The 12,485-nt window shown below is 33.3% G+C and overlaps 1 protein-coding gene across 14 annotated transcripts in view; it reads right to left on the bottom strand.

Moving 5' to 3' along the window:
- Window positions 1-12,485, bottom strand: part of STXBP5 (syntaxin binding protein 5) — a 186,057-nt gene that overhangs the window by 152,379 nt on the left and 21,193 nt on the right. For all 14 annotated transcript variants that reach the window (XR_007059202.1, XR_007059201.1, XR_007059203.1 and 11 more), the window contains exon 3: window positions 2,764-2,845. Coding sequence is in view for 11 of the 14 variants with exons in the window: in XM_047418197.1 (XP_047274153.1) it covers window positions 2,764-2,845 (82 nt within the window). In the remaining 3 variants the exon portion in view is untranslated. The remainder of the gene's footprint in view (window positions 1-2,763; window positions 2,846-12,485) is intronic.

The raw sequence follows: 12,485 nt of genomic DNA, 5'->3' as shown, positions 1-12,485 counted from the left end.
AGACACAGAGCAAAGACCTATGGAAGTATATTTTGAAAAACCTTTGAGATGATTCTGATTTAAATTGTGAATGCAATGTGATAATTGTGAATAAAATTAAGACTGTCTAGACTAGAGCTGATTTATTAAGACATCTGAATGTTTTTCCTCAAAGGACTCAGAAATCTATCATCAATACTGAAAGAATAAGACAAGAGATGTAACATGCAGAATTTACATTAATTTCAAAAAAGATTTGCAAGACCAATCTTTTAGGGTATTGTAAGAAATTGTAAAGTCTCCCCCTTTCAAAATAAGAGTTTCTCATCTACTCAGAAGAATTAAAACAGCTGTCAGGACAAGATTTATATTAAATTATCTCTCCAACTCCTTTCCACCTTCAAAATTCTATGAGGGCTACCCTAGTGTGTAACTTCTGTTGCCAGGACATGACAACTGGAAAGCAGAAATACATAAAGTCCACACTCTCTCCATTTCACTAAAAGCATCGTTTTATCTACATCACTTTGAAGTAGAGAAACTCAAAGGATTTAGGGTGTCAAAGATTTGTACTGCTATTTCTTATTTCCATCAAATATCAGGCGATGTCATCTTCTTTCTTAATGTTTACCACATCTTAAAATCTCAAGGAAGAAGAGAAGACATAGAGCCAAAATAGCAATAATAGCTGTCTTCTTCTTATGGTGGCTCCTTCACCTATACAGTATATAGTTTTCCAAATCTGAAAGCAAATAGGTGCACCTAATTGTCAGATTTCCACTTTTTAAAACAAAAAAAACCCTATCTTTATGTATTTATAATGTATTTATAATTTAACAGGTCAAAAAAAATGGCCCTTCCAAAGAAGTCTATGATCAATCTTATTGAAGAGAAAAAGAATACTTAATATGAATAAAAATAGCATAAATTTAAGATTTCTAAAATTTAGGTTACAGTAAATGATTTACCGCATTTTATTAACATTGGCTCAAATGTTGATTTAAAAAATAATCTTAACACAAGTATAAAAATGAAGAACAGGTCAGGCGTGGTGGCTCACACCTACAATCCCAACACTTTGGGAGACTGAGGCAGGCAGATCACGAGGTCAGGAGTTAGAGACCAGCCTGGCCAACACAGTGAAACCCTGTCTCTACTAAAAATACAAAAACTGGCCGGTGTGGTGGCAAGCACCTGTCGTCCCAGCTACTCAGGAGGTTGAAGTGGAAGAATCATTTGAACCCGGGAGGCGGAGGTTGCAGTGAGTCAAGACCACGCCATTGCATGCCAGCCTGGGTGACGGAGTAAGACTCCATCTCAAAAAAAAAAAAAAAAAAGACAGAACAGGTTAATAGTTGCCAGGGACTGAGGGTGAGCAGGAGTTCAATTACAAAGGGATTCCCTTAGTGCTGAAGGCACTTCTTTATTTTCCCTTAGTGCTGAGGGAACTGACCTGTATCTTGATGTGGTAGTCCTTACATGCATCTGTACATGTGATAAAACTGAACTACATGCACACACAAATGAGTCCATATATGAACTAGAGAATCTAAATAAAGGTCTATAGTCTAGTTAATAGTATTGTTTTGATGTCATTTTCCTGGTTTGCTATCATACTATTGTTATATAAAATGTAACTATTGGGAGAAGCTAAAAGAAGGGTACACAGACTCTCTCTGAAACTATTTTTAAACTTAACCATGAGTATAATGATTCCATAATAAAACATTATTTAAAGGAGGAAAAATAATCTGAGTCTTCATATATGGCTTCGACAACTTTCTACATTTTAATTAAAAAAAATTTAACATCTTAAAATGCCTAATATACAGTTCTATACAGGATACTGAAGTTTTTAAAAACACATCCTCTGACCTTGAAAAATCTAGACAACTGCAAATTATTTGGATTATAGTTTTATGGAGGTTTTTACATTGTCATAATTATCTTTTTACACCCATGATGCCTTTCTTAAATCCTCTGGTATGAATATAACATTTATCAAAAGCCAGAGGTATTCAGGAATTTATTTTCTCTCACATACATTTAAGAAATTATTCCACGGAGCCTAAGGGTTTAGGGACTAAAATAATGTCCACAATCTATCCTCATATCTAAGGAGATCAGAGCCTTTTCTGAAGCAATTTCTCTTTCTTCCTTCTACGACTAGCTTTCCCTCTCTATCAATACTTGCAGTTAACATCTATTGTCTGAGCTGCTCGTATGCTCTTAAAATATGCAAAAACAGTGTTTCCTATGCCGATAAAATGCTGTTTTCTCTAGCTCCTTCTATACTTTCAAAAGGAAAGGCAACATCAATTACTTAAAGCAATTAAGTGACACATTTGGGTGTTATTTAAGAACTCTGGGCAGAAACTACTTTCTAATGAATGAATGCTGGTTTCTTGGTTGTATTTCAAAGCAATTCATTAAAGAAGCACACTCTTTGATTTGTAATAAGCTCAATCTTTTAAAAAATATTTTAATATAGAGTTCTATGTTACACAGTATTCAATATCCCTGGAATTTAAATGCAGCACCTTTTACCAAAAACATTTACCTTAGGCCTTTCAATTTACAACACTGTCTTGAGAAAACATTTTACATTATTTATGTAACTGTCCATGACGGTACCTTAAAACGAATTACTACTATTTCTGATCCATTATAAATTAATTTTTGTTCAAATATGTAAATAAATTGTGAATGCATGTAAGAAATCTGAAAGACTAGAAGTGGCCCTATTTTGGATATAAGTAGAAATGATTAAAACAATTCACTAACCTCATTAATCAGGAACTGGAGCTGGATTACTGCAGCTCCACTGTCATGCTGGCAATAACATTCTACTCCTGGACGACCAAAGCTGTAATTAATTCCATTAAGGAGTTTATGGTATTTGTTCGGTTTTGAGAAACTGGTAAGTTATATAATAGGCTGATAAATATTCCAATGACCTCATATTCAATACAGGCCATTTACTGAAGTTGAGATTTAGAGTTAGGTTTGTTACACATCAATCTAATAGTTTCTGTTGAGAAGTCTCAGAGATTACAGGTTTAAACAAAACAAGCAAATTAGAAGAAAATGAATTATTAACATCAGCAACATATTAAAACAAGATAATATATAGGTAATACATTTTATGCTGGCCCAAATTATTTTCTTCATCTTAAAATAACAAAAAGAAGACAAAAGGTGGTTGGATCTATAGAACATCCAATTTTGCTGAAGTCAGCAAACAAATCTGAAAAGTAGGCAAATGTCATTTTGGAATGTTGCTTTTAGGAATAGTAATGATTTTACTGTCATTTTTCATTTCTGCAGTGTAATTTTTAAGTAACGCTAAAAATATAATGAAGAACCACATAACTATGTTTCTAATTGAAACATGATTTTGTTTCACCAAATGAACGTGTCAATCTTTTACTACAGGCATGGATACTGATTAAAATGAATTGGCATACAATAATAACAGCAAATATTTATATAACATTTTCCACATTAGGCATTATTATGAAAATGTTATTTATATCAACTCATTTAATCCTCATAACTCACGAAGAATGTTATTTTCCCCCACTTAAACAGATAAGGAAACTGAAGTACAAAGAAATTAAGTAACCTGCCCCAAGTCACATAACTAGAAGTAGCGAAAATAGAATATAAATAAGCTTTCTGGCTCCAGAGTCTACACTCTAAATTAATAAAGTATGCTGAGTAAAAACATCAAAACAGAACAGAAAAAAAAACTGTACATTTGTAGAACTCACTATGTGCCAGGCACTGTTATATGCATTTTACCTTCATAAACTTGAAACAAGAAGGTAGTCATTTTAACTGGCTGCTAAACTAATCTCATTTTGCCAGTTATTAACTATTACCCTAAAGTAAAAAGCAAAATGTAAAAATAAAATTTGGTGGGATTTAATAAAATTATAGTTGCCAGTATATAAATTCACATTCAGGTATGGTCTGTTTCTATATTCTATTAATACATGCCACAAAGTTCTTAATGAAAAAATTGTGCCATAGGTTTAATTCTTATTGGCTATGATTTCTTCCTTTGGCTTTCTAGAAATTTTCTAGATGGTATTCATTTTCAAGAGTTTTTTCCATTTATTACTAGCAATTAATTATATATTTTATAAATTAACAGGTTGAGTATGTTTAGCTCATAGTATCCTACTCTTTAAACACCTAGAATTATTGTTAGTAGTAATAGTAGTAGTAGTAATAGTAGTAGTAGTAGTAGTCATAATAGTAATAGTAGTAGTAGTAGTAGGAGTAGTATTTTTGCTATACCAGTTGCTCAAATACAACTGCAGGAAACTAGAATTCAAATTAATAGTATTGGCAATGTGCAAATCACACCGTGATAGGCCAAAAAAAGAAAAGTCTGTATCTCCGTTCACCCATTTATTTTTTCAGAAAAAGAAACTGCCCTTCTACCCAGTATAGTGAGTCTAATTCTAATCGCTTCAGCTAAATTATTCTTTCTGGCACCAATCAGCATATTTTATAATTCCCATTTTACATGAATGTCAAACCTCTCTTCTGAGACCAGATCGGAATCAATGAATAAGTTGATTTTTTTAAGTGAGTTACTGTAGAAAATCATAAAAATTATACTTACTGTAATATTATCACAAAACATACATAATATTGCTAATCTTTTGATATTAGGCAAAGACATTTTCTTTAAGTATGAATCTATTAACTAAAAATCAGAGTTGTTTTTCTTGAGTAAAACATAGCTATGACTATCCAGGTATAAGATTTCCAGTTTAACTTCTTAAAAGGAACTTTAAAGATAATGTCAACCAATACGAGTGCAGCATTCATATACAGTCTATTTCTTTTCCAGTCATTTATAGGTATGCACACCAAATCAGGAGGGAAATTTTAAGTGACTGACCTTCATGAAGTCTTTCAAACGCATTCATCTTAGATGTTTGTTTAAAAATGTCTCTTTTGGCATTTGTACTTCATCATTTTATAGAATATTAAGGTGATCTACCTGATAAGAATATCTAATACAATAGACATAAACAGATTGGGAATACAGAAAAACTGATTCTTGGTAAGTAAAGAATAAGCAACAGGTCTACTAATTTGAGCCTTCTAAGAAGTAGTTTACTGGTGTTGAAACTTCAAATTGCCATGGGCGTCAATCAATGTTTTCTCCAAAGAGAATGAAAAATGTCTATAAATTCAGGGAGTCAGTTACACAGAGGTCAAGAGACGTTTTACTCTTGGGCTATGTATGACACTACTCTAAACAAAAAAATGTACTTTTAAATTGATATAACATAGTTCCTTAACTTCTAGCTAACATGATAAAAATAATTTCTTAATAAACAATAAGAACCACTTACTGAGTAGCTACTAAATGGTTAGGCACTGTGCCTTAAATACATAATTGCACCTAATCATCACAGTAATTCTGAAAGGTAGTTATTATTCATGTTTTACAGGCGATATATCTAAGGCTCAGAGAAATGATTTTTTCTCAAAGTTACTTATTTCATTCCCTTTTCCTGTAAATAAGGCAGTATTATTATACAGCTGCAGCTAGCCCCAAGGGGTCCTACCACCAAAACTGCCCTATGCAGTAGAAGAAAAACTCGTAAGTTATTACTCCATAACAAAAAATTTAAAATTAAGTTTTAAAGAATTGATAATGCCTACATATAATCTTGAGATACTAACATAGAAAGGACACAAATTTCAGAGCAAGTAGTTCCCTATCCTGGTAGTTTATCAGAATTCTGGCCCCACTGCAAACTTGCTACACCCAAATTTCCAGAGGAGATGCCTGGGTAGGTTGTTTGTTTATTTGTTCATTTATTTATTACTTATTTACTTATTTGTGCCACAGGAACCATCTGAGGCACAATGAGACTTGAAGACCTCTATTTTCAAGTTAGTTCATATGCCAGCTCTGCCATTAGATGCTGTGATCTGGAGAGAATTACTACAGGTCTTAACTCTCTAATCTATAAAATGCATATAAGACCTATCTAGACTAGCTTGCAGAACTGCAGTGAGGATTAAACTACATAGAGTGTACTTACCAAATGGTATCCATTATTATTTAAGACAATGTATTATTCACTATGTTGGCTAGAACTAAATGTTCCCTGACAGTGGACATACCATTATAATACAAGAAAATGTCAACATTGAATTTATCACAAAACATTCATATCTTTTCACATCTATAATTATTATTCCTTGCACACATGATTCTTCCTAATACTGACATTTCTGAGTTAACATTTTTATTAAGAAATAGTCAAACACTATAATGAAGATCTGCTTAGTAAGTGATTTCCACTTACTGTGGCTATGTTCACAATTAAATGAAAAAAATTAAACGTCTGAAACTAAAATGAAGAAAAACCAAAAGATTATACACTGAACATTCTTGCAAATTTATTAAGTGAGGAAATATTCACTTACTATTCTAATATTTGTTTTTATATATGTATGCATCAATTATAAGGGAAAGGTAAATATATTTTTCTGTCACTGTATCTTAGCTTGTAACTCTAAACTTCAATGTATTCTTTTGAAGATAATACAATATTCCTATCTCAGATACATTTCTGCTCTCGATTTTTCTATTGCTTGACTAACAGCTATGATATCTACCTAATCCCACTAGTAATTCTTGTTTTTAAAGCAAATCAGTTAATTTATCTGACCCATGATACATGTCAGATAATTTCTGCACAGCTAGACTCATGGTCCATGTCCAGACAAGCACCATTATCACTGGCGTATTTATGAAGAGAAGATGTATGTGACAAAGTTAAAACAGATCAGGAGCACAGTCTTTGAACACAAGGCTGTGTAATTTAGACATGACCCTCTATGTAAGCAATAGGAAAAAAAGAAATAATCACAGGAAAAAAAAACATGATAAAACTAGCAGTTAATGAATAAGCAGGAAGAGGTATACAGGACACATGAACAGAAACAAATGCCAGAGCCAGTAAAACCTTATCTATTTATTTTTTTTTACAGTAGTGTATATCAAATTCAAAACAAGCGTCACTCTAACTGCCTAAATGGCTTTTTCTGGTTGATTGGTTGAGAAGGGAGGAATAAATGAAGAATTGGGAGGCCTTTAAGTACATCACCATCATCATCACCATCATCATCACCAGCATCATCACGGAAGCTGAGATTTACTGAACACTTAAGTTGTGTCAATTACAATACTACTACATATGTATTATCTCACAATAGTTCTCTACGATAAGCTCTGTTTTTACAAATAAGGAAACTCAGGCGCAAAGTTTAAGTAACTTGCCCAAGGCCACTCACCTAGTTAGTAAAGAAGCTGAGATTTGAACCAAGGCAGTGTAATTCCAGAACCCACAGTATAAATTACCAACCCTTATAGCATACATGCAAGCAAACACACACATACACACACACACACACAGCAAAATATATTGAGCCAATTTTCACATGTAAATGTTATTTCCTGCTTTATTATAAATCATCTTAAAACTGGAAAAGGAACATATATTTATAATCAACGTTTCACAACTGGGTACTTAATAAACCCAGATTGGTCTAATTCTATAAAACTAGACCAAATGTAACTTGTAGTAAATGAACATCATACACCAATTAGATAGTAAACAATATGCTAATTTAAATAATAATATACTACAGTCATTTTTCATGTTAGCTTAGGGTACCATGTTTAAAAATTAATTTTAATAATGAAGCAATATGGCCCAGCAAGATAAGCAAAAAGCTAGAATTCTGTATTCTAATTCTAGTTGTAATTTTGAGAAAACCTCCTTACGAATATCTCCACGTATAAAATGATCAGCTAAAAAACATTTTAAAGCCTACAGCTACTGAGAGGACCAATACTTGGCAAAATTAAATAAGAAATAGAAATAAATAAACAATCATCTTTAAAAAGTATACGGGATCAATGGCATACACGACGTTAGAATACAGAGCACAACCACATATCTCAACGGGTGTAGAAAAAAATCTGACAAAAATCAACACCCTTTTATCATTAAACTCTCAACTCAATAAAACCAGAAATAGAAGGGAATTTCCTCAACATGACAAAGGGCATCTATGAAAAACTCACAGCTAACATCCTTCCCAGTGGTGAAGGACTGAATGCTTTCCCACTAAGATGGGGAAAAAGACAGCATGTCCATTCTCACCACTCATCTACTCAACATGGAATCTAATGTTCTAGCCATGGAAATGTGCAAGAAAAAAAAAGTGTTCAGAATAGAAAGAAAAAAAGTAGAACTATCTTTATTCATAGGTGACATAATCTCATATATAGAAAATTCTAAGAAATCCACTAAAAAAAACTGGAATGAATAAAAAAGTTCAGCAAGGTTGCATAATACAAGACCAATATACATAAAAATCATACCCTGGCAATGAATGATCTATAAATGAAATTAAGAAAATAATTCCACTTACAATAACATCATAAGGAATAGAATATTTAAAAATAAATTTATCCGAAGAAATGCAAGACCTGTAACATTAAAAACTACAAAGTACTGCTGAAAGAAACCCTAAATAAATGAAAAAATATCCTATATCCATGGAACAAAGACAATATTATTAAGATGGCAGTAATCACCAAACTGATATAAAGAACCTAAACAATCTCTATCAGAATCCCAGCTGTTTATAGAAATTGACAAGCTGGTACTTACATATCATTATATGTAAGCATATCTCACTAAAGCTGTTAAAAAAAAAGAATTAGCTTGTATGAATGATAAATACTAACACCATATATGAATAGGTAATAAAAAAAAGGCAATGAATTTAAGGCAAGCAAACACTAGAATTATTCACGAAAACAAATTAAAACATACGATATTCTTAAATATGTTTTTGTCTGAAACATTTAAATATTTTTCATAAGCAGTGAATGAATTTAACCTATTTAGCAACTTAAATGAAATGCAGCACAGGAGGAGAAAAAAACAAGACAAAGGTTTAGCATTTTTGCAAGTGAGCTACTTACTTCCTTCTGTCCTGCATTTGACTTTTTAAATTTATTTCATCCACGATTTAAAAACAAGACGTATTTAACAGATGAGAAACAACAAAGAAAATTCAATATTCTTGTAAACAAATAAGAATGTTGATCATGTAAAGAATAGTATGGTCTTAGAAATACATGTAAGTAAAAGTCCCAAGAAAAATATCTTTCCCTTGTAAATTAAAATCATTTGTATTTCTCACTAATAATTTAAAATCTACATTAATTCCTAAAATATGTTGATGAAAATTGCTCAGGAAATCCCAATTTTGGATATTATAATGACTGAAAAGTAGTGAAAAGAAGTCTTTGGTCCAAGATACCAAACTGAACATACATGTATGCTGTCATTTCATTCCAAGATCCCTTTAAAAAAGTAAAGCCAAAAAATAAAGGACTAGAAAATATAAAAGAAAAAGTAAGCAATATAAAGGATCATTTTAGAACATGTAACATCCAACAAGAGAAAACAAAGGAAAAGAAGAAGAGAAAGTATCAAAGAAATAATAGAAGAAAATAGATTTTACGCAGCTTCTAATGAACATGGGTCCTTAGATGGAAGTACACAGAATGATAAACGAAATTAGTCCCCACCTAAATACACCACTCTAAAATGTTCCTTAAGGCTTCCTACAGACTTCCAGGTAAAAAGAAACAAAAAAAAACAAACAAGCGACCACTTGCAAAGAAATGATCAAATTGCTAGTTGCTAGGAAACAGTGAAGTAATGTCCCCAGAGTTATAAAGATATTCAAGCAAACCCCTGACAAGATCTAATTATAGAACAAAGACTTTTAGATATTCATGGGCCTCAAAAATCTTATCATTCTTTTTGTAAGTCATTTAAGACTATGCTCCAATAAAGTGAAAGAGTAAACCACACATAGACACACACATGCACACACACACACAAAACAAGGCAATGACAGGGAATCTAATAAACACTGAATTCAACTCAGAAAAAAGATGAAAAAGCCCAGGAGGAAAACAGTACAGTTGACATAAACAACACTGGCCCAGCTTAGAGAAGAACAAGGAGGTATTCACTGGAGGCAGGTTCATGAGAACAAGAGGGCTCCAGAGATGTGACTCCATCCTTGAGAAGCCTGAGGCATTTAAGCATGAGATGACAGCAGCCAATGCATAAGGGAAGTGGGGGAGAAGGAAGAAAAGCAGCTGTACAAGAAAGGAAATGTACTCAAAAGATATCACTTGACTTTGAAATAAAAAAGTCATCACAGGAAAAGAAAAAAAGGTATAATACGTACTGTTCACCCATTTTCAACTTTTAGAATCAAACTAAAAGTTTATATTAATTACACGTGACTACAGTTCGCAAAGGAAAGGAGGAAGAAAAAGGAAACAAACATGGAAAAGTGATGGGTTAACTTTCTCATTTACAAAGTGGGGAGCCAAGAGCTAGTATGCATAATTGACAGAGCAAGAAATACAGAATTAACTATAAGATACTTATTGAAATTTACAAAGGTAACAAGGAAACAAAGTAAAAATAGGGACAAGACTACAGGGGAGGGGAGATATGAGGCAAATGCTCATTTATCAAGGCAGGAAATCAACTGATAATTTCCAAAGTTGAGGAATCAAAAAACATTGGCAAGAGATTTTATTTAGAGTTAGCAACATGACCAGAAACAGTTAAATGGATCCTTCTGGGGAGCAGGGGTAGGCATGGGCAAGGTAGGGCATGTTCTTTTCATCACAGCCCCCACTACACTATACTACTTAATCTTTACACCATGTATATGCCTTTGGAAAGGTGGTTACCTTTAGAGTGTTTCTAAAGTGGAGAAAAGTAGCAGTACAGAATCAGACATAGAATTAGTGGGTTTATTTCATTATGTTACTGTATCCCTCTAACTGACTTATACCATTAATACTAGAAACCCTGAATCAAGATCTCTCTCTAGATCCACACAACAGGAGAGCCTTGTTTTCATCCCTCACATTCTGGAATTTTAAACCACTTACTTAGTCTCTCTCTCTTCCCCATAACCACTGGTTTCTTTCTAACCCTACCTGCTGTCATTCACTACTACACAGACTTGTGTGGCAAGAAAAATGGGCACATTAAGGGGAAACAAATCAGAGCTTCTTGTACTAATGATCCTAATTACCCTCCATGTTCGCTCATTTAGTAGCTCCTAGGAGGTAAAGATACAAAGCTATAGAATGATATTCCTTAACCATGTTTGCTTAACTCATCAATTTTTCTTATTTGAGAACTTTAATAGGCACTGAGGGTACAAATCTCAAAAGTTTAGCAACAGAATTATAAAAGCAATATAACAGTTAGGTCTTCAGTTACTCCAAGTAGATAAGAATTTCATAGGTAACAATATTACTTGGAAAAAAACCTTTTCAATTATTCTCACAAACATCAGTTCATTTGAAATTTTAGCATGTCTTATGCTATTCTTATATGTTCATGCCATTCTTTGCTTTCCCTCCTTGCTTATTATACAGTCATACTGAATTCTGTACCTACTTCCTTTTCCTTCAGTTGGGACCATCTTTGGCTGAATTACACAACTATGTTTGACAGCCTATGCTATACTTCCATCCTAGAGTGTGGAAGGCCTTCAAACAGTCTCAGGTAATAGGAACGTGGTAATCTGCTCTTTTTACTCCCAAAGGCTGGAAAACCGTATGACACATAGCAGACACTCAATGAATGAATGAGTTTTCTTAAAACCTAAGAAACATGTTTTATGTCCAGTAATATCTTTTTTTTTTTTTTTGTAAGGGTATCACTGTCACCCAGGGTAGAGTGCAGAGGCACAATCATGGCTCACTGCAGCCTCAACCTTCTGGGCTCAAGGGATCCTCCTGTCTCAGCCTCCAGAGCAGCTGGGACTACAGGCACTTGCCACTACCCCTGGCTTTTTTGTTTGTTTGTTTGTTTTGGTAGAGCCAAGGTCTCGCTATGTTTCCTTGGCTGGTCTTGAACTTCTGGAGTCAAGCCTCCCAAAATGCTGAGATTACATGCATGAGCCACCATGTCCGCTCCAGTCATATCTTCTTAGGTAAGATTAGTTCACTTTTCGGAAAACCAATAAAAAGTATACAACAGTGGAAAAACGTTCTAATCCTGTCACTATCAGGAAATTGGACTCGATTTTCTCTAGGATCCATTATAGCCCTTAAAATCCCATAAATTACATTTCCAGCCCATTCATTTTATCTTCAATGACTTTTGTAGGTTGTTATTACAATCACAACAATATTTCCTCTTATTGCTTATTTTTCCCTGTGGGATTTGTACTGTCAGCAAAGTAGAAACAAAAAATAGTAAAATAAACAGGCCATGGGCCCGCAGTCAGTGATAAAGTCTGAGAGTATCGCTCCTGGGCAAGTTTTCACTACCGTCACTACCACTGTGTATTATGAAAATGTCTGACACACATATTCTGACAACCTCTACTTTTAT

Source organism: Homo sapiens, chromosome 6 (genome assembly GCF_000001405.40).
Source record: "Homo sapiens chromosome 6, GRCh38.p14 Primary Assembly".
Taxonomy (NCBI): domain Eukaryota; kingdom Metazoa; phylum Chordata; class Mammalia; order Primates; family Hominidae; genus Homo; species Homo sapiens.
This window is presented reverse-complemented; position numbering and strand designations above follow the sequence as displayed.